General features: G+C 42.1%; 1 long non-coding RNA gene across 3 annotated transcripts, besides 1 other annotated feature; it reads left to right on the top strand.

Annotated features, from left to right (window-relative positions):
- The first annotated feature begins 607 nt into the window (after nucleotides 1-607).
- Nucleotides 608-12,582, top strand: LINC01739 (long intergenic non-protein coding RNA 1739). Of its 3 annotated transcripts, none has more exons than NR_146606.1 (2): nucleotides 608-745; nucleotides 12,276-12,582. It is a non-coding gene; the product is annotated as a long intergenic non-protein coding RNA 1739 (long non-coding RNA). The 3 variants fall into 3 exon arrangements; NR_146605.1 differs by lacking the exon at nucleotides 608-745 and adding an exon at nucleotides 1,811-1,993; NR_146607.1 differs by lacking the exon at nucleotides 608-745 and adding an exon at nucleotides 2,154-2,201.
- Nucleotides 13,033-14,468: an enhancer, noted in NCBI's record as "VISTA enhancer hs169". NCBI's record gives its function as "enhancer in: neural tube[4/4]" and the evidence as "EXISTENCE:transgenic organism evidence [ECO:0001131][PMID:17130149]".

Below are 23,731 nucleotides of genomic sequence, written 5' to 3'. Positions count from 1 at the left end.
TCAAGAATCCCTAACAAAATTAATTTATTCAATTAGCCAAACATTTATTGAACCCCTACAATAATAAGAGCTAATGATTACTAACTTTATGAAGCACTTCCCTGGGCCGGGCATGATCCTATATCCTTTGCTTACGTTCTGGGGTTAAGTGTGCGGACTCTGGAGCCAGGTGACCCTGTTACAACTCTGGCTTTGCAACTTAGTTGTGTGACTTTGGGAACATTACTTTGCCACTCTGTGACTCAGTTTCCCCCTCTGTAAATTGGGGATCATAATAATTAATAATACTGTTTCTTGAAGTTGGGCTGAGGAGTAAATAATGTTTAGCCACCTACTGTAAGTAAGTGCCACCTACTGTAGCAAGTGCTACATATATATGAGCTATTCATTTCCACAAAAGTCCGACGAGATGGCTGCTTAAATAATGCTAATTTTGTACTTGAAGAAAGTAAGCTTAGGGAGGTTACATAACTTGTCCAAGGTCATACAGCTGGCAAACAGCAAAATCAGGATTCCAAGCCAGGTTGCCTAATCCCAGCACTGGGATATGTTGCCATCACACTCTTTCCTATGCTGACGTATTTCTCTCTGGGTCTGTGTTTTGATAGACACAGGGATCACATTTACGAAGGGATCTTTCAAGAGCCTCAAAAGCAGGACTACTTCATGAGCCAACTCGTAGTGACAAGCCCTGCCCCTGCAAGTGAGAAGGGGGGCGCTTCCAAATCAAGCACCATTTGTCAAGGTGGGATGGAATGGGTAACTTTTTTGCTCCCTGAAGTCAAAAATATTTTTTAAAAATGAGTTTGTCGTGTCTTGTTGCATAATACAGAGCAGTATTTATAGAACATGGAAATGAATATGAAAACTTGTATTTTGATTCAAGGCCTCTTAAAACTAAGTGGTGGTTTCATTAATAATTCTGACTTGACTTTTTCCTCCCAGATTATTGGAATTTTTTAAACTTTACAAATAGTATGTTTCTGACTGGGGTTAGGGAATGGAGAATGGAGAGGTAGGAAGAGGGAGGAAGCACATTCCTAAAGACACTAACACTGCCAATTTCTGGAAAAGCAATTCCATGTATTGAGAGCTACCATCGTGTAACAGATAGTACCGGGTATTTGGTCCCCGATACTGTTAATTAGATATGTAAAGACTGCATTTTTCGGGCGTTAATTTTAAATAAAAACCTTCATTAAACAATATCTCTCAGTAAAAATTTAGGCCCTAGCAATTAATAGGCAAAACTGTGTACCTAAGATTTTTATTATATTGATTCCAAAATAATTAGGTTGGCAAAAGCATTGTGAATATCTCTCCCCACGTTAATACAAAGTGCTGCTATCATTCTGCTGTTTTTTTAAAAGATGGCTGCATCTTACCATAAAATGTATTTCCAAGTTTTGTCAAGTATTAAGGTGATTGATTTTATTTCTTTTATTAGGAATTTAGGTTTATCTTACTTTTTTAATAGACTGTTGAAACGCAAGCCTGCTTTCACAGGCCTCCTGCCACCCAAAAGACTCCTTGTTCAGCACAGAGATTTCTTGCTGATCACATTTTTCCCTCTTCTTTTCTTTAAGCAAACACTGAAGGCTTTCAGCAGCTGCCCCAGATATCACTTTAAAACCCCTTAAGGCAGTTTGAAAGGCCTCCAAAAAAGCATGACATTCAATCAAAGTTCAGCAAGGAAAGTTTTAATGAATAAACTTAGTAAATTAGAAAGCACTGCGGCAGAGTGATTAACTCTCATTTGGGCATTAGTGTTGAAATTAATTAAAATGTTTAAGCCATAGGAGGCAGGCTACCTCGTCAGGACCTGGCTCTGCCCTCGGAGTCAGTCTGGATCCAGGAGTGATTCATCTTACACAGATGAGAGGGGGATAAAAGGAAAAGAACAGTCAGGACAAATGTGTTTTCAATGGTGCTTAGCAGCAGGAGACCACTGGGACTTCAGAGCAACGCTACTGGAGTGTGACATCATAATACGGTATGTACACTGTGGAGCGGAGTGAAAAGGACTTCGCACTTACATTCTTGCCCTCTCTCCTTTGGATTGGATGCCATGTATATTCATTTCTCTGCCAGGCAGAATGCTGCAGTCTGCTGTCTTCAAGACCACTCACCAATTAGCTCTGTTTCCCTGCTCTTTTTAAACCTGCTTGCCACCGTTAATGTTCCTGCGGTGACATGAAGAGGTAGGCTTGGTGTCCTGGTGGATTTCCCTAAGATCAACTCCATAGAATGTATAAAAATATAATTGCTTCAAACAGACTCTCAGACACACAACAACGGATTTATTTTTAAATTCCCTTGACAATATGCAGGGCAGAAACCATCTTTTCAAGAAACCCAAAATATTCCATTCCCATTAGGTTTTAAAATAACTTGTAAGCTCGATTTCTTTCCAGAACTATGGGTCTGTGGATCTTCTTATAGAAACCCATTACCATGTGGCTGTTTAACAAATCCGTGCCTGCTTAAAATTATGAATGACAGCCCATTTCATAAAGAGAAAAGTCCTCCTTGACAGGAAAACAATCTCAGTTGGTTCTCCTTGGATAACAAATGGACTTGCATCAGGCCCGGCCCCATAGCTCTTTCTAAAATAGGGTGGCGAAGGACTGCCATTCCTATTTCAGGGGTCCTAATTAAGGAGCTTGCAGAAATTAGTGACCACCTGCAAATCTGAATTATCGCCACCAGGAGAAAATTATCATGATTTGCTACAGATCTGCATTCATAACTTTAAAAACTGTCCATCTTCCTTATTTTTTGCTCTATGGATTTCTTGTCAGAGGCAATGTCAGAGGTCACTGCCAGAGTGTCCCTTTGGTACCCATTAACTATAACCAGCAAACTTGTTCACTATTGATCCATTATGTCTAAGTATCTATTATGGTGGATATAAAAGGTGGCTTCACATCTTTCTAAACAGATAATTCATAAAGGCCAAGGGGTCATGGCTTGTGATATATTATTCTTTCACTGTATTTGTGACTGAATGGACAAAGAGAGAGAAGATGCAAAAGGGGTGCCAAGGGTCACGAGTGTTAGACTAGAGAGGTAGAAAGCTGTGTGTCAACTGGACACATTAACATCCATATAAATAATAAAAGGCATTAATAATATTTGTTCATGACCTCATTATCGATTCATTCTACTCAAAAGCAGAGGTTCCTAGAGCGAATGAAGACAGAGTTGATTTTTTACCACCAAAGTTCAGTTGAGGTTGAACTCTAAACTGGAAGTCAACTAGAGACAGTAAAATATATTCTGGTAGGCATATACTGGGTCCTGGGATTGATACATTTTGCAAGCAGTGCATCATCCGGGGCAAAGCAACTGTTTGGAGAACAGAAGCCTCACACAGAAAGTGTTAAGGGTCTGCAGGGCCCTAATGGGCTCAGCACATCACCACATTCCTTTGGGACTGTTTGATTCATCATGTTATTTAACCTCCACTGGTTCGTATTGAACATTCAGCAATACACTACAGAGGCCATTGCTAATGTTCCACACATTCCCAGCCTAAAGGAAAGCATCTCATTAGGAGAACAATAAAATCTAATGAGTGAGCCTTGCTCGCAAGTTAGCTGACATTGGGCTCATTTAATGCTGTTTATGGTCTTCTACCCACTGGAGAACCCAGAGATGGTGCGCTTTCTCAAGACTACAGTTTGGAGGAAAGTAAATTGAGATGAATCATGGTGAGATGAGATACTTAAAATGTCATGCTCCATAAGTTTGAATGCATCCTTCAAGTTCTGAACAGTAAAATGCAACTGAACACTGAAACAAGAGAAACAAAGAAATAGCAGATAACTAACAATACAAACCCGCCTTCTTGGGCAAGGATGCTTCATTGGGGGAAACCAAAAACATCTTTTCAGAGCCCTCCTTGAATACACACCAGCATGCACACACACACAGAAAGACACACAGACACAACACACACACACACACACACACACACACACACACTTCCTCCCAAATTTCCTTCCTTTGCCACCAGACTTCAATACATTACAGGCTTTAAAACAACAACAACAACAAAAAGCCCATTATGGATCAGGGGATGACACGTCAAGATTGTAAGATTTTTAGAGACCAACAACAAACCACCAGCTTTATTTCTGTTTACAAATGTGAGCCAGTCCCTAGACTGGCTGAGTAAATTATAAATTGTCCCCAGTAAATGTAGGAGCTAGCGATCACATGTTTCTGAGTCAGGACAGGCCTTTTTAGCTTAAGAAGTGGGTCGAGGAGAGGCTTGGGGGTTGAGAGGGTGGGATGTGGGAGCTACACAGTTACTTTGCCAATTTCTTCTTCCAGAGCCCCATTCATTTCAAATATCTACGGACTCGATGACCTCTCTAAGTTAGAACATCCTAAGAGAAATCCAAGGACAACCTATTTCCTGGAAGCCACCAATCTAAGTGAATAGTCTAACCCTGGGGATAGCTTTTCTTCATTACATGAAACCCCAGTTACTGAGACAACTGGGGTCCTGAGGGAATTTTCCTTCGATGTCTGTGGTTCTCAATCTTTTTGTGGATCGAGGACCCTTTTGAGACTATAACAAAAACTATGATCCCTCTCTTGAGAAAAATATTGATACACAGAAAATTTTGCATGTTTGAGGGATTCATAGCATTCCTCAGATTGCCATAAGTTAAGAACTGCTATTCTAAATAGGGTTAAAAAAAAAAAAAGATGAGCATTGATGGAATTGCCCTTCCTTCCTTCTTCAATTCAAGAAAGAAAAAATAACGAAGCTTAGAGATGAGCCAGCCATTGTGACCCCCGAACTCCAAATAATACTGTCCTTAATAATAATATCCAAGGGTCATGCTAGTGGTCTCTATGGACATCTCTAGTCGTCATAATAATTTTTATTTTTATTTAATGTTTGGAGACGTTGTAAAAAGTGACTACTGTTTCAAAATGTGACCTCTGTGAGGTTTAAAACCTACTGAATCAGATGAGATATGAAAGCGTTCAATATAATGTATGACTTAAAGCTATATTTTTTAAACTTTAATAAGAAATGTCTGACTCTTAGATCACTGTTTCTAAAGCCTGGCAGACAGAAACATGTCTTTTAAAAAGGTCTAATTTATATACCAAATAGAGATCCAGCAGGTAGAAATGATGCCTTTCCTTTTTACCTCATGCCAACCAGAATCTTTCATCAGCTTTGAATACACCTCAGCTCCAGCAATATTTAACAATGCTAACTCATCTCATTTATTTTCAAAGATTTTTCAAGTACTCTGCTAGACAGTTGGATACTAAGATAAGCAAATCACGGTCTTTGTCCTTGGGACGGTTATAGTATTGTGGGAGGACAGGTGTGTGTGAACACTCATGCAGCTACTGTGGTGGCTTAGACAGCATCCATTCCCTTCTTCCTCCCTCCTGGCAGAATTTTTTTTTTTTTTTTTTGAGGCAGGGTCTCACTGTGTCACCCAGGCTGGAGTGCAGTGGCATAATCTCGGCTCACTGTAACCTCCACCTCTCAGCCTCCCAAGTAGCTGGTATTACAGGTGTGCACCACTGCACCTGGCTAATTTTTGTATTTTTTGTTGTTGTTGTAGAAATGAGTTTCACCATCTTGCCCAGGCTGGTCTTGAACTCCTGGTTTCAAGCAATCCACTTATCTTAGCCTACCGAAGTGCTGAAATTACAGGTGTGAGCCACTGTACCCAACCCGGAACTCCGTTTTTATTTGGGTACCCACCTCTCCTGTACATAAGCTATGTGATCTCTGGAAAGCTGACCCACACCAGGCTATACCAATCATGATAATCCTACACACACCCTTGCCTGTGATTGGCTCAGGCATCATGGCTTCAGCCTATTGCTTAATTGGTGACGGTAATTGGTCCAGGGATGAACATGTGACCTAAAGCCCTCCTCACACCAAAGGGAAGGACAACTGCGGGGAAGGTTCTCTCTCTTCCCCTCTATGCATGTTGCCCCAATTGCTTTTAGCAACTGTCTTGCTACCACTGGGGAGATTGGCCTGAGGACAAAACAAATATATCTGGGATGACAGATCTGAGAAAATTACAGAAACCCTAAGCAGAAACCCTGATCGTATCACATCTGGAGCCCAGTCTACATCCAAATGGCCTTTATATGAGATCAATCTACTATTTTCTTTTTGTTTAGTCTTCTTTGGGTGGACTTTCTGTCCTATGCAGACCAAAAACTTCCTGACTGTCATCCCTACTATTAGAGAGTGAGAGTACCCCTGGTATGCTACAAAAATCTTCAAAAAAAAAGCACAGAGGATGGACACAGTCACTCTGGTGGGAACTTTCTGGAGAAGGGGATACTTGAACTGAGTTTTGAAGGTTGAATAGGAGTTAGCTGAGCAGATATAAAAGGGAAAGGGGTTCTAAAGAGAAGAACAAGTGAACAGAGGTGTGCTGGTGCCTTCAAGGTTGTTGGGAGAGTTGTATGGCTAGAGTGAAATGAGCACTCAGGGGATGTTTTGGAAGATGAGACAGAAGAGGTAGCAAGGGCTGGATCATGAGGGGTCTCACATTCCGTGTGAATGTGGATTTTCTATTAAAGGTAATTGGGAGCCATTGAAAGATGTTAAGCTAAGTGTCATGGTTGGTTTAGCGTTTTAAACAATTGCTGGTGGCCAGTGTGGAAGGTGAGTTGGAGACTTGGAGGTGAGTTGGACAGTTCTGGAGACAGGGGGATCAGTTCAAGAGTCTCCATTTTGCTGGAATTCTCAGTCATCCTCTCCCAACAAGGGGCAGAAAACATGGGCTCTTTCTGGACAGTTCAGAGATGGGAGCTGTGAAGACTGGTACAGATCCAAGTTGGTGCTCAAGATATAGAACAGTGCACAGGGTCATGGAATGAGCCCCTTACTTGCTGTGTGGCCTTAAGCTAGCTGCTTAACTTCTCTGCGATTCCATTTCCTTGTCAATAAAATGAGGATCCTAATGCCTACCTTGCAGTGTTTTGGTGAGTAAAATAACATTTATAAACAGATAAGGCTACTAGAGAATAGAAACTAGATTAATGACTCACTGGATGATTGAGTGACGGGATGACGTGAGTGGTTTTCCCTACTTAGATTAAATATGTGGTTATAGACTTCAAAATGGCAGGCCCAGTACTTGGGGAGATGTTACTACCAGATGAACAAGTTATCCCCACTACTTTCTGAGATAAGTTTAATTCTCATAGAATTTTTTTTAATGAGGGCACATCTGCCCACAAGGATTAGAGAAGCTTCTGCTCAGCCATTAATTAAAACAACATGCTTTGAAGCCCTGTGGATTTGCAGCTCTCCATTCTTGGGGCTCAAGAGGAAGCATTATTATAAATTGCTTTGGAAGGAATTGATTAGGGGTTTTCCATATGATACCCTCAAAGGGCTTGAGAGATTAGGTTTTGGCCCGAGCTCAAGGGCTGCTGCCCAGTTGGTTTGGATAGCCTGCAGGGACAGGAACTGAGAAAGGTGCCTGTCTGTGCTCCTTTCCATAAGCCAGATCCTTTGGTCTCCCAAGTTGACTGTGCCCATTCAGTGGTGGTCAGAAGAAAGGGCTAGGGTGGGACAGTGCGGAGCTGGTGCCCACCTGCAGATGCTTGGAGGTATAACGTGCAGTGATTGAGAGATTTACCATCAGAGGCATCCAGGTTTTTGAGTTCCAGCTCACTCACTTACTAGCTGTGTGACCTTGAGCAAGTGACATAACTTCTCTGAGCTGTGACTTTTTTCATTTGGAAAAATGGGTTTTATTTATTCCAATTCTACAAAGTGGGAGTAGATCTACTCCTAAGGTTATTATGTAGATTAAATAAAACATTTATATGAAGTATGTATGCACCATAGTTTATAACAGATGGCTAATAAACATAGGTTGTTATTATTATTTATAATGAACATTTGTAATGTGGGGTCTGTCCATCAAGTAGCTGCTCCCTGATTTCCTTCTGGGGAATTACCTTTCCTGATTTGGTGTAGTCTTGGTGCCCTCTAGTGTGCTGACTGTCCACCTTAGAAGTTGAAAGGTGGAGGCTCTGCCCACCAGACATTCTTTTCACCACCTAGTACAGCCAAGATGTGAGCATTTCACCTGAGTTCAGGCAATCAGAGTTTCTGTCTCCTGAGACCTTGAATCAAAGCAAAGGTAGCAAACACAGTGGGATAGTGCCTGAGGAAGACGGTCTTCCCTTCCCTCCTGTTGGTGCCCCAAATAGTTCCTACAAAGTCTCCATTCTCTCAAAGGGCCAAAATCCATTTCTGTTGCTTGTGACCAAAGAAATGAGATACTGTTGCTTTCTGCTTCTAGGAAATGAGTGTTTCCCTTCACAACCTGCTTCACTTCTTGTCTTGTCTTTACTCCAATACACAGGGCACTGCCACAACGGCCCTACCTAGAATGTTCCCCAAACACAGCGTAAATTTTTGTAACTTCCTGCACGTTTTCAAGACGTCCTTTCTGTTTGGATGTCCATATCCAGCCCTCATCCTCCAACAGGCAAATTCTACCTCATTCTTTAAGCCCTGGCTCAAATGTTGCTTGCTAGGGAAGGCTTCAGTGACTGCCCCTGACCCAGCAGTACAAAAACATTTCATTTCCTCCACGTTTTTCATACTTTCACTGAAGCATTTACTACACTTGCCGTGTTGTATTACAGTTAGGTTATTTGCTGCCATCTACATTGTGTGCTCTTTGGGGATGGTCTTGTTCAGTTTTGTTTCTCTAGTACCTGATTCAGAGCAAGAGCACGAAGCATTTTTATTGAATAAATGGTGAAGAAATGACATTTCTTACAAACATATGACTTGTACAATTGTATATGCAAACATATGCAGGGCATGTCTAAATAATTTCAGAACAGTAGGCCAATTCAATAGACCACCTGGTTTTCCCAGCAGTGGTAAGAAACCTGTCCTTGTCTCAGTTAGCCAAATTGACTATCTGGATTCACCCAAAAGTTAAGATCATTGTCTCAACTCTCTTCTTTGAGAGTTACATCCCAACATAATTACATAACACTAGTAACTAAGTCTTCTATGGCCCTGACCACATCCCAAGCACCAAATCAATATTAACTCACGTAATCCTCATAATAATCCTATGAAGTAGATTCTGCTATTTTTCTCATTTCAGAGATGAAAAAACTGAGGCATAGTGAGGTCGAGTCACCTGCTCACGGTTACATGGCTGACCAGTGAAAGAGCTGTTTCTTGCCTCAGCTGTGCTCTTCCATACGATGCTGCCTCCTCTGAATTCCAGAGGAATGAGCAGATTCAGCACTTAGCCCAGTTTCACAGCTTGGGGGTTGGACACCGGATAGGGGTGGCTGCATATGGAGATCTGCCCACCTTGTAAGAAGTATTGACGAGTGCAGGTTTTGCTAAGCTATAGCAGGGTAGTGATGAAGACAAAGCAGTTTCCTCCCATGATATTTGATCATTCTGAGCCCCAGAAATAACCCTCGTGCAAGTAGGGGTCACATTATTTGCCTTGGCTAAACTCACCAAGCTGGATTTGGTAGGCAGTAGAGGGTAGTTCCATGGTTAAGCTTTTAAGTCAAAGAGTACTGAATGTAAGGCCTGGCTCAGCTGTCTGCTGCTGTGTGTGATCTTGGGCTAATTATTTAACTGCTGGGTGACTCAGTTTCCTCACCTGTGAAATAGGGCATAATAAAAGTCTCCATGTCATAGAATAGTTATGAAAATTAAATGAGATAATTACACGGAAATTACTTGGTATGTCTGGCACCTATTAAGTGGTAGTATTATACAAATGTTAGTACAAACATTTGTGCTAATTATGGGATATTTAATGACCAATAGCATGTTGGGTCTTTCAAGGAGCAATGAGAAGCAAAAGAGTAGGGTTGAGAAGTGAATGTCCATCTACTTTACCAAGCAAAGTGCAGTCCTTAAGAATTTACTCCACTGCCTGAAGCTCCATGTCTGGCCACCTAGTTCTCCCAAGGATTCCACTAGGTATGAGCACAAGATAGGGTTTGTAGTTTTCACACCCAGTAATCAGGGCTGATGGCTCAATAGGATTATTTTGTATAGCAAACCCAATATCCTCTTTACTATTCTTTTCCCCTTTCTGATTTCCAGTTGAAAAAAAAAACCCTCCAATGATAAATTTGGTCAAAAGGCTTATTTTATTACTAGTGCCTGTTGCCAAAGAGCTGATATTTCTCACAAATCCTGAGCTGTGAGTTGTGACAGCCAGTGCTTGGGTGAAGTTAGCACCTGCCTCATCCCCAAGGAGAAGAAGTGAGGATGTGATTTTCCTGACCGAGTCCATTACAACACATGTGCCCTGACCCCTGGGATTTGGGGAGGAGGATTCCCAATCTGCCAGTTCATTTAAGCTTCCAACTTTGCAGATTCCAGATTCAGATACAGAGAGCCTTCAAATGTGTTCTATAGAAACCAGACTTCATTGTAAAGTTCTCTATTAGCTGCAAAACAAACAAAGATGTACAAATAAAGTACATTTTAAAGTAAGAAATATATTCTGTTAATGCACCTATCTGTCTCAGCTTTTAATAAACCCAGTTTACGTGGTTTACAAATGAGACCCATTTCCTGAGAGATCTTGGAGTTGAAAATTGGAGTAGAAGTGATTATAAGCATAGGAAGGTATTACTGTACTCTGGGAGCCTCCAACACACTTAAAACACATTAATAAGCCCTCTCCATGGAGGATTCAATAGGATGAAACTAATCCTCGTGTCGTCCTCTCTCTATTTGTCCTTCATGACTGGGACATGAGAATTATGCACTAAATAACAATCTCAAAAGGCAAATCCCACAGAATGTGGGAACCTCTTGGGACTGTGTGTAGGTGTTGTCACTCCATAGCTGGCATCAGAGTGAACTCCCACCACTGGGATATGGAACAATTTGTAATGTAGCAATTAATGGAAATATGGCGAAGTATTCGCTTAGCAGGAAACTGGTAACTGCAGGGATCACCAAACAGAACAGTACCATGGCATGTCCAATATCCCAAGGGATTCTGAAGACATTCAGATGACAACCAAGTGCTAGGCATCTTGAGAAGCCCCTCTGTGCCCCATTGTTACTTGAGGTTGAAGTTAAAAATGATACCTTCTCTTCCACCCAGCTTTTGAGCTACACAGAAGGGAGGAGCCGTTTTATAAAAATGCAGCCTCGGAAATGTAAGGACGCACCATGCTTGCTCGCTTCACCCTGGGTGAACAGCCTTCGGCAGATTCTCATTAGGAAAATGTTCCACTGGGCTTTCTCCTCAGGGTGCAAGGGAGACCTGGGCCGTTGCAGAGCTGCATTTTGCATCGCCTGGATGATTGTAAAACTCCCTACTCACCACCCCCAACCAACCAAGAAAACCCATCAGCTTAAGTACCAACCCCCCACCTCAGTTCTCATATACTTTCATCTTGTTCCCAGGATCCACTAAAGTAAATAAGATGTCCACCCAGATAATGGAAACCCCTCCAGCTCTCAGTTAGTGCCTTTTCATGCCAATTAAACACATTTTATACAGTCATCGTAGATGCATCAATGACTGCATTCCGAGACGCCAATAGGGCCGCGGCAGACATCAGCCTAGCAAACGAAATGTATTTCATGCGTGTTTTCTCTCTGTCTTATTCTAACCACTTGGCAACGGTCTCAATTGAAAACATTGATTCTGAAAGATATATATGGGTATATAAACTGATTAAGCAGCTTATTTGCTGCTGATTACTTTACTAATAAAGATCTCAGCGTGCTTAATTTAAATTAATACTTCTTTAATGAAAATCCAGCTTAGAGCATTAAAAACAATCTTGACAGATGCGTTTATTGCACAAACATACATTTATCTACGCCAAGCCAATTGAACATACAATCATATTTGGTTGGAGTTATAATTGATAATGATTCTACAATTATGACTTCAGTTAGGTGTGTGTCGTTCACCAGAGTTACTCTGATACTCTCAAAAGGTTTTCTCATTTTGGAGGCTGTGAGGACCCAGTGGGAAGTACATGGAAGTTTGCGAAGCAACTGCAGAACATTTGGTTACTTTTGAGATGAGGAGTAAGATATCCTTGCTTCCCCTCCCCCTCACTCCATCCTCCTCTGCCTTAAAAAGCCAAAAGGAGGGTGGCTGACTTTCCAGTGTAGTAAAAATTGGAAAGGGGACAAAAGGTGTCAAATGTTAAGACCTAGGGATTAAACAAAATTGGGTTATTGATTAACCAGTGTGTTGGTAACCTGATGTTTGTGGCAGCCAAATACCAGAGTCTCTCGCCTCTTGGAGTTTATGGGCCAATTTCTCCCAAGATGTGTGAGCTTGTTGTGCCGCCGCCAGTGGACTCGCCAGCGGCTGAGCAGCTCAGAGTGACAGCGACTCAGCGTCTGGAAGCCCCACTGGGTTGTGAAATGAAGAAGGCCTTCTTTGCCCCTGATGCAGCCTGGGCGAGCCCCGAGGCTCCAGAAGCGAGCATCTCCCAGCTCCTAAAGAGCAGACATATATCCTGCCTTTAAGACAAGACTACAATTGCAAATCTGAGAATATAAATTACACTTTCATCTTTCTTTGGTTTTCTTTCTTTTGCTTCAGTTTTCATTCCAGGATAAACTTTCCTGTCAAAGGGACATTTCTGATGTGTCAAATTCACCACTATAATGAACAGGTTGACAAATGTGGAAGGTGAGCAGACATTTGGATCTGCCGCAGCTGCCTGCAGCCAGAGGAAACCATGACTTTCACAAGGATAACGAGGCTTTGAAAGATGGCGAAAATGTCGCCATCAACCTGCCCTTCTGCTACTTAGTAATTAGATAATTAGTCAGGCCCTAATTATGGGATCAGGGTGCAGGAAAACAATTAGCTGAAAGAATTACTATATAAAACTGAAACGGAGATTCCTGAAAACAATATTTAATTTTATGATATTAATATCTGCAGCAATAATGGGAGTCCTTGGCTGATGCCACCCGTGTGCCTAGGCATCCGGAAGGCAAGCTGGGTATTCTCCTTCTGAGAGCTGGATGTCAACACGAAAATGAATCCTGTGACACTGTCTTTTCAGGACCCCATGTGTGCCCAGGCAGGAAGTTTGTGGCTGTTGCGTGTCAGCCAAGTGTGTACATACCTGTGCCACACACACTTGCCTACAAACTCCCAATTCCTTCCCCAGGCCCCAAGAAGCTACCAAATATGTCTCCGGCTGCAAAGAAAAATGGGGCCGGCTCATAAATTCTTCTTGCATATGGTATGAGAGAGTAAACAGGTAAACAAGTTTTCAAATGCCTTCCTCCAACCTGGAATTATTAACACATTGTCTTGTTATCATGATTAAAATTAAATGATGTTCCAGGCTCTTTGACAAATGAATTTGGAATGGTTACAGTAATGGCATTACTTTAAATTATGAAACCAGGGAGAAAAAAAAGAGAGACAAAGAGAGAAAATTGAGCCTAACAGCCTGATCCTTAACTATTATTTACCTATTATCTGAGAGAATTGAATCTCGCTGTGCTGCGGCAGAGAATAATAAAAGATTTGTAGGCTTTACAAGGCCCTGTCCTCCCATCCAGCAAGCACCAATTCCCAGGGGCTCCATTGCGAGCCCTGGCTCAGCTTGTCTGATCATTTATCCATAATTAGAAAATTAATATTTTAGATGGCGCTATGATGAACCCATTATGGTGATGGGCCCCGATATCAATTATAACTTCAATTTCAATTTCACTTACAGCCGAGTAATGGGTCCTGGTGGCGGTGTAGAGATGGGCTGGAGCTTCAGAGCATGACGAATACAGATCACTGCACATTAGGATGAGCAATTATTTGAACATGTATAAAAACTATTTACAAGCAATGTAATTGACCGGGGTCAGGGGGAGATGCTGAAAAATGGACAGGTTGACAAATTCTTGTTCCATACCAACAGAAAGGATTTATTAATTTCTTTGGCTGTAATTGAATTTTTGAAAGGTTCTTGTTAAGCTTGCCCTGCTTTGCTCATCTCCTGTGCTGACCTTCCATAGATCTGATGCTATAGCTCCTGCTTGCTTCCGTAGCCCTTGGCAGGGAGATTGCTGATGGAATTTATAAAAAAACAAGCAGCCACTTTCAAAATAGATTCAGCAGAGAATAACAGAACCACCACTCTACTATTGTGTAACTTTCTCTTTGGAAAAAAAAAGGCTCATAATCTTGTGGATATTCCAGCTAAACACTGAGGGTTTCAATTCTACATTTTACCAATTTTAAGGCTGACGTGAGCAGTGATTTAAAGGTGAAGTAACCTTTCAGTGATATAACAAAGTTCAATTTTAATAAAATGGATAAAAGCAGTTTTTACCATTTGCAGCTGAGTAGACATCAAAGCCATGTGTCTCTTCTATTTCTCTTTAACCATTTGTGTTTCCTAAGATAATGTTACCAATTATTTAAAATTCCCTTTGGGAGGAAGGAGGGAGAATAAGAAATAATTATTTGCGGGGGGTTGGGGGTATTATTTTCACTGTGATCTGTGCCCAGACCTCTCTACCTGAGAAGCTCTTCTCCCTTCCCCTTCCATTCTTCCCGAGCTGGCTCTGCTAGATCCATGAACGCCCAGTTTTAACAATTCCTTTTCAAGAACACACAAACAGACGGATGGCAAATATGCAAAGCGGGAGGAATGGCTTCCCAGACTCAGGCAACACACACCTTCTTCCAAAACGCGTAAACTCTGAGCAGGCTTGGGGCTGAGGCAGGCAGCAAGGCAGCCCAGCGAAATCACACCAAATCAGAGCGAAAGATAAATTATGAAAATATCTCAGTGTCTTTATTTGTTAATTTTCCATGGCCTTGGGATGCTGCTGCTGGTTTTGTCCTGGCATTGCCTCATGCATTTGCTCTTGTTTTTTTGATGTCAGTTTAATTGTTCACTGTCAGGGGCAGAGCAGCAGATAACAAGCTTAGCAAATGATGTCTGCTGTTGCTACACATTGGTTAATATTTTACATGTTATTATCCTCTGTCCATTACGACAGCAAATTAAACTATAAATCACACCTTCTGCCTATGTCACTGAATCATAAATTGTCTCTACCTCTTTCTCGCTCTGGTGCGGCAGCTTGCCGGGCTCTCTCTTTCATGAGAAAACGGAGTGGAGAAAAGTGCCTGTATGCTTTAGTCTGAGTTATGGACTAGTCAAAAGCACAATATACATCAGGTCTTATGAAAAATGGGGAGTTTGTTCTGCTATAAAGCAGAAGAAAACTAAGCATCTGGGTAAAAGTTTGAAGCTGTTATGGAGAAACAATATGTTACCTCAAAAATTTCTGGTGCTTTTCTTGTAGCAATTACTGTAGCAAAAAGCAACAGCTTCCTCTGGAAAATGTACACTTGTGGGTAAACTCACTCATATGCTTGTCTGTGTGGGTAAGTAGAACATCGATAACAGAAATTAAGCCCACGCTTAATAGTAAATATCCTGGGAGAATCAGCCTCACAGATGAACCTAGGTTATTATTCCAGGAATACCAGAGAGGTGCAGCCTTCCTCTGGGCTGCGCGCTCTGCTCTAGGCACAGGGCAAGAAGGGTACTCTGGAATTTCTCTGTTGGTGTTTGGGGTCTCTCAGGTGGGTGTGGGAGGATCAGGCCCTCTGCCTTTACGAGACCTACCTGAGCCAGATCAGCAATTTAGAAAGCACACAGCTTTTTGTAGCCATGCCAAAATAACTTCAGACAAACTCCTGACCAGAATGATTTTTAAAATGCTGGCTTCATCAATGGGCATCTTTGAAGGCTGTTTATTTCTAAGACACACCAGCATGAGCTGTGTGAAAAAGGAGGCTGGCCCAGATTTCACTAAGTGTAACCTGCCGAAACATTGCTTATCAGGCTGGATGCAAGTCGGTTGAGGATGGGGATCACTTGAAGAAAAGTTCTAGAGAATGACCACCAAGGCATTGCTTCTAATTCATTCATTCATTCATTCATTCTTCTTTCTTTCACTTTTCATTTTCATTTTTAAAAGAGAGCCTGCGTGGTTAGTTGTCTGTGTGGTTAATTTTTTTTCTAGTGAAATCAGCAAGATATGAAATGTGAGCTGCCAAATTAGATAACTCACTAATAATTCCTTGCATACATTAAAAAAATAAGAATTGAGCACGTATTTTGTGTGCTACTGCTATAGGTCCTATAAGGGATATACAAATTTAGTGATAATCATTCATTCACTCATTCAACAATATTTCTTGAGCAGCTATTTTGTACCAAGCATTGTGCTAAAGTGCAACAGTTAACAGAACTTAGGGTCACTAAGAATAAACGGGTAATCAACAAGATAATTGCAAAGTGTGATAAGGATTCCCATGTATGAAACAAGGTATTCCATGCTAACCACTTTGTATTTTTTTATCTTTTTTTTTTGAAACGGAGTCTCACTCTGTCACCCAGGCTGGAGCGCAGTGGCATGATCTCAGCTTACTGCAACCTCTGCCTCCTGGATTCAAGCGATTCTCCTGCCTCAACCTCCTGAGTAGCTAAGACTACAGACAGGCACCACCATGCCCAGCTAATTTTTGTATTTTTGGTAGACACAGGGTTTCACCATCTTGTCCAGGCTGGTCTCAAACTCCTGACCTCAGGTGATCCACCCACTTTGGCCTCCCAAAGTGCTGGGATTTTTACAGGCATAAGCCCCTGTGCCTGGTTTGCTTTGTTTTTAATGTAGAAGATGGTGGCCTCAAATTTTCTAAAAGAGCAAGTATGTTGGAGATTGCGAGAGGTTTGTTAAAAGGGAGACATGGTAGTAGATGCCGTGGCTGAATTAGAATGCCAGCTGTACTGAGTAAGCTTGAGCAAATTGTTACATGTGTGACTTAGAGAAGCCAATAGAACCTACATTGCAGGGTTGTTTTAAGGATAAAGCAAAATAGCATAAGAAGGTGCTTAGCAGCAGGCCTGACCCATGGTGAGAGGTCAGCGAAGGGTCTCTTCTCAAGTCAAAGAAAACCCATTGGAAATTACAAAGAAGATACCTGCTTGGATCCTGAGCTTGCATCTGAGCCTCGCCAGGCCTCAGGCGGGACTCTGCAGGGCCTGCCCACTCCTTGCCAACCTGAGGACAGTCTGCATCAGGGAGCGAAGCAGCGGAAGCACACTCCCATATATATTAATGAGATGAAGGAATGTGAAGACCCCAACAGAATCTGTTTATACATTATACATTTATCTTGTTATTATTCAGCATTGATTGAGTATCCTCAAATCTGTAAGCCTTTTATAGAATGGCCCAACAACTCTCAATTACCTGCAGTCTACAAAAGAAGGTAAGTCAAGAAATAAATGAAAGCAGAGAAAAGACCCGTAGTTCTTACCGCAGCCCCGAGAATTCACACCGAAGCCTTCTTTTGGCTCAGCCATTGTCAAGGACCAAGAAGGGATAGTTGGGGGCCAGGCTTTCAGTCCCATGAGGGCAGGGACTGTAAATCATCTCACAGCCACTTTGCCAGTTTCTAGCATAGAAACCATAAACATTTGTTGAATGAAAGAAGAATGAATCACTTTTTTGTATGCTCACTATGTGTCAGAGAGTATTCTAAGAGTTTTACGTATAGTAATGTTACTTAATTCTCACAACAACCTTAACAGTGGTACTATTATTACCTCCATTTTCCAAGGAACGAAAGCACAGAGAGGTTAAGTAACTTACTCAAGGTTGCACAGCTACTAAGGACAGAGGCAAGAGTCAAACCCAGGCAGTGTGGCTCCAAAGTCAGTGCTCCGATGTGCTCTCCCCATTAGCACTAGAGGCAGTAGAGGCCAGATACTTGCCTTTAGCCACCAGCTCATGTTTCCGAGCTTTAGAACTGTTGCTTCTTCATTCATCAGTGCCAACCCAGACTCAAAGGGACCTTTGACACCCCTCACAATCTCACCTGCAGGCCACTGGTGTCTACCTTAGTTGTCTGTGCTCCTGACTTGCACAGACTCTCAGGTTCCACTTTTCCTCCACTCTTACTAGATGTTTAAAAATTTTTTTCCATTTATGATACTTGTACACATTTATCCTTACTAGATGGTGATGTACCACTCAACCTTCCCCTTCATCTGATTTATTGCCCATGTTCAATTTTAGGTTCCTCCATTCCCCAAAAAGTGCAGACTACTTCAAAGTGATCATCTTGATATCTTTACAACTGTTTATCCAATGCCAGGCCCTGTGCAGCTATTCCTTATTTCTATTCCTCATGAGAACTCAAGGAGAGGGATGTACTTAGCCCCATCTGATAGACATATGCAATGATGTCCCCTGCCTGGGGTCAGCACTGGTGTGCGGTGGAGCCTGGACTCAGAGTCAGTGGGCCCAGCTTCAAGTCCATGGCCTTCTCCCTACTCGCATAGTTGACCCCACTTCCATGTTCACCTGCCATGAAAAGCCCCCCAAAACAATGAAGCAGCCAAACCTTGGGGGATGGGACAGTGGATGGGGGTGGTAGAAGAAGCAAAACAAAGGGGCCTCAGAGCTCCCCAGCAGGGCTCAGTCTGGGGGAAATATCTGTTCCTGGGTGCTTCATCAGCCACAAGGGCAAAGACCTAGGACAGGCAAGAGATCCGATCTGAACTCTGATATTAAAAAGGAGGCAGTAAGAACAGAGTGATCACTCTGAGCCTGTATATTAAATGTATTTTCCCTTTGTAAAAAAAAAATGCAAAAGTTATGTTTCAACATAAAGGCAGCCTGTGTTTCATAGCTATTCTAGTTTATGGGCCGTACATTCCTGTGATTGTCTTGAACTGAATAGGCAAGTAAATAATCATCGAGAGCCACAGGTAAATCACTTGGAGGTGAACCAAGCCTGTCCAGAGCTTCCAGAATTGGCACAAACATTATTTCCTAATTTTGCAGATTTCTTCATCTGAGCTCAGGAAACACCTTCTCTCGTTGGCTTTGAGGTTTGACACTTTTTTCCACTCACATCCTGAAGAGACAGCGACAAGGTGAAACGTGAGAAGTGTATAAAGCATTTTCAAGGATTCCCCGTCTAATTTGCCTTCTCAGTTCCAAGGAAATAATGCCATGCACTTCACTTCCCTAAGTATTTATTCTGTGCTACCAAATGACTAGAAATGGGAAGCGATGGGAGGAGTCCAGAGAGGTGGGAGATATGGACCACACTTTCACAAAGCCTAGAACTGGGTTGATTTTTTTTTTTATGGTGGCAAAACATACATAACATAAAATTTGCCATTTTAAGCGTTACAGTTCAGCGACATTAACCACATTCACATTGTTCTACAACCATCACCACCATCCATCTCCAGAACGCATTCCTCTTCCTCAACTGAAACTCTATGCCCATTAAACATGAACTCCCCATTCTCCCTTCCCCAACCCCTGGTGATCACCATTCTACTTTCTGTCCCTATAAATCTGACTACTCTAGGTACTTCATATAAGCAGAATCACACAATATTTATCCTTTTGTGACTGGCTTATTTTATATAGTATGTTTTCAAGGTTCTTCCATGTTGAAGCATGGAGGACATGGTTGATTTTAAGCATACGAATGTTGAACCAATGGACACACCAAATCTCAGGCAAGTCAACCAAGAGGGAAATGCATATCCACATTCACTTGTGGTTGTTTTAAGGAAATTTGACTCTAAGCTGCAGCAATAAATCCCATGCATTTATTTAGATCCTGCTGTGTGCAAAGGCCCGTGGGCAGCTGAAGCAGAAGTAGACACTGCATTTCAAGGATCTGAAATCCAGTCCAGGAGACATAGTGTGCAGATTCAAATCCAGGTATTAAGTGCTAAGTAACTTTAGGGTACAAATGAAAAGGCAAACAGGAGTTTAAGAGAGGTCATTTCAGGCAGAGGTGATTGTGGAAGAGATGAATGTTAGTGGGAATTTGAAGGTTGGGTAGAATTTAGTAAAAAGGAATGGCCTAGATAAAGAAAACATTCCAGACTGGCATGGGGTGAAAGCATGTTTGATAGCCAACTGTCTTTTTCACAGTTTCATCCCCAGTGCCTGGTACCACAACAAACATGTGCCTCATGAATCAGTAAATGCAGAGCCCAGAGGTGAGAAAGCCCAAAGTGAAATTTGGAAACAATGGGTAGATGGTCTGGCTTGAGAAGAGGGTCCCTAAAAAATGTTGGTAGAAATCAGGATGTGGAAAAACTTTGTCAGACTAAGAAGCTTGAACTTTATCCTGAGGAAAATAAGGAGGCATTAAAGGTGGTTGATCAGGACAGTGACTATTCCACTCTTTCTAATCATAGGTGCACCAGAACATGAACACCCCCAGAGAAGCTTAAAGTGACCATAGCTGGGTAATGGAATACAGCCATCTTCATCAGGTTTATGCGGATAGGGCAACATCTTGTTTGGAAGTATCATTTTTTGGAAGCATTGTAAAGTGACAGTAGGTGGAGGAAGCTGCTAGCCAACAGACTAGGGAGGACAACATCCCAGTAATCACAAACAAGGGCAACAATATAGCTGTGGAGATTAAGAGGAAACAGGCAGATCTTGAGGCCATGGTTGGAGAGAGGATTACAAAATATGTAGGGATCTTGAAACTCCTGGAGGACAATCGGAAGCCAGAGACAAGGACGAAAGTCAGGACTGATTGATCTCAGTGGCCAGTGAAGGAGGTTTAAAGGAAAAGGAGTTTTTTGCCTTGTAGACTGTGAGGTTAGAATGAGAGACCAGGCTTCCCTATTCAAAAGAGAAGCAGAGCTTCAGGATTAAATAGCTAGAGAGATTTGATCTGCAGCAAGGCAAATGTGGACGGTGGAAAGGCATAGAAATAAATGAAAGTCATGAGAACCCAAGAATTATGGGGAGGAGAAATGAGAAGAGAGGAAGGGAGGGCTGGGGAGGGGGACAAAGGAGAGGAGAGGAGGAGACTGACTTTGCACTTAACAGAAACTCACTTCAACTGGTTTAAACCGAAAAGGGGCATTTATTACAAGGTCACAGGGATATTTCATGGAACCCAAAAGGGCAGCCAAGATTGAAAGAAGAATGGAACCAGGAACTGGAGAGTTGTCCAGAACTAGCAATTACTCTCTTTTCTCTTTCCCTCTCCAATGCCACCTGCACTCTCTTCTCTGCCTCTAAACCTACTTTATTCTTGGCTTTCTCCACTATGCAGACACCTCTGAATGCATAGAGGAGACAGCAGGGTTACATCTTTGCATGCAAAAGACCAGCAGAAACTAAGTAGTGACCCTGAATCCAATTCCAAATGTCCAGGGGAGAATGCATGACTGGCCTCTTATCTAGGTTTAGGGTTCTCCTGGATTCCATCAGCCACAGGTGGGAGGTGGGGGTGGAGGGACATGGTGTAAATATGGCTCCTGAGCTCCACTCCCACGCGAGAAGGGCAGCTTTGAAAAGCAGATCCCACAGAAGGTATAGACCAACCAAATCAGGCAGGAGCCGTGAAACCCTACCATGTAAGAAAGGACTGAAAGCATTGCAGCTGTTTGCTCTAGAGAAGAGAAGGATCTAGCAACCATGAAAACAGTCTTCCGGTAGCTGAAGAGGTGCCTGCAGATGTGTGCATGATTCTGTAGGGGATGAGGTGGCCAATTCAGCAGAGGAAGGAGAAGCATTCTGCCAGGGAGTGCTGCCAGTTCTGCAGTGGACTGTTCTGGGAGCAGGAGCCTCCCCCAGGTGCAAGGGGAAGAAGAGCTATTAGTCCCTTAGCAGCAGGTGTTTTAGAGTGGGAATTCCAGCCCCGAGGGAAGTCACATGCATGACTCACAGGCTTCTTTCAAAGCTAAGGTTTTGTGATATTTCTTCCTAATCCCTCCACTCCCGCCCCACCTCCTCCTGTCTCCTCTCTCTTTTATTTTATCCAGTCACCACCTAAATCAGGGGCTTCTATTTGGAGAGGACATTGGGAAGCCCAGGAGTGTCCTAAAATTAGATGCAAAATTGTAGTGGGGAGAGTTAGGACATACATGTAGATTTCTCAGAGAGAGGGTTCAGTCAAGGGGACCATGACCAAGAAGAGGGTGAAAAGCAATGACTGAAAGAGAAGTGCTTTGAAAGGCAGCTTACAATACTAGTGAAATAGAGAAACAGAGATGGAAGTAGGAAATACAACTCAAAAAAGGAGAAGTCAGATATATTTTCTGAATACTAGTATCTAACAGCTGCCATGATTAAATTTCAAGTTTACTTTTGAGCTACCTGGCAGCCAGAGAAACCTAGTTTGTATAGCTATGAGAAGCAGCAGTCCATCAAGAGCAATGAAGCTATTTCTAACCCTGACTTCTAAAAGAAATTTCCCTTCAAGCCAAAAATATCATAAAAGTAAATATAACAATTATAAAAGTAGTAACTATTATATTAGTATAACTACTATAAGTATTATAGTATTAATTAGTATAACTACTATATAACTATTACTATTACTTTTATTACTATTATCACTATTACTATTAATTCAAAAGTAATAGTAATTACTGTTTATTCAGAATTACTTTGTGGCAGGCACGAAAGTAATTTTGTAAAGTAATGTGGCAAGCACATTATATATACTATTTCATTCAATCCTGACAGTAATCTATTAAGTAGGCACTATTCTTAAACCCAAATTACCAACGAGGAAATTGAGGCACAGCAAGGTGGACAGACTTGTGCCTGCATTTTCAGAGTTGGTAGAGAGGACACCCAAGCTGTGCCTGCCAGACCCAAGGGTCACACTCTTAGCCACTATAAATAACACAAATCTTTAAAAAGAAAAGGAAAGGGCCGGGCATGGTGGCTCATGCCTGTAATCTCAGCACTTTGGGAGGCCAAGGTGTGCAGATCACCTGAGGTCAGGAGTTCGAGACCAGCCTGCCCAACATGGAGAAACCCCATCTCTACTAAAAATACAAAAAATTAGCAGAGTGTGATGGCGGGCCCCTGTAATCCCAGCTACTCAGGAGGCTGAGGCAGGAGAATCACTTGAACCTGGGAAATGAAAGTAGCAGTGAGCAGAGGTTGCGCCACTGCACTCCAGCCTGGGCGACAGAGTGAGACTCCATCTCAAAAAAATAAAAATAAGAAAAGAAAAATATCACCTGTGGCCCATACCCTCAAGCAGCTTTTAATCTAGCTGGGAGTAAAGACGTGCACAAACAAAACATTAAAAGTAATAACTTTACCATCTTTGAGAATCTACAATGGTGGCTTTATTTTGGCTGCTTTGTATTATATGGGCTTTTCCTCGATTTTCCAAACAACGCTAAGAAGTATGTACTGTCGCCCCTCTGTTACTGAAGACTAGTCCTATCTGGGTCAAGTTCAGACTGCTCCACCTGGCTTTCAAAGTCCTGTATAATTTGGGATTTTCTACCCAACATAATTTTCCACCACTGCCCCAAAGGAGGCAGCACATACCAAATGAAAAAGCATGGAATTCCATCCAGACTCTACCACTTTCTCGCTCTGGGACCTTGAGTGAGTTGCTTAGCCTGTCTGAGCTTCTAGTTTCCTCAATCTATAAAATAAGAATAATGACGACTACTCTTCAAGATCTTAAAAGAATGCAAGATTTAAGAATAAGAGTATATTATGCAGGGATCACAAGACAATTTGAGGGAGGGAGGAAGGGACCAGGTAAGAGAGGCTCCAGTAGTGATATGGTTTGGCTCTGTCCCCACCCAAATCTCATCTTGAATTGTAGCTCCCATAACTCCCACGTGTTGTGAGAGCAACCCCATG

Source organism: Homo sapiens, chromosome 1, assembly GCF_000001405.40.
Source record: "Homo sapiens chromosome 1, GRCh38.p14 Primary Assembly".
NCBI classification, from domain to species: Eukaryota; Metazoa; Chordata; class Mammalia; order Primates; family Hominidae; genus Homo; species Homo sapiens.
Note: the sequence above shows the minus strand (reverse complement) of the source record. Positions and strands in the feature narration are given on the sequence as shown.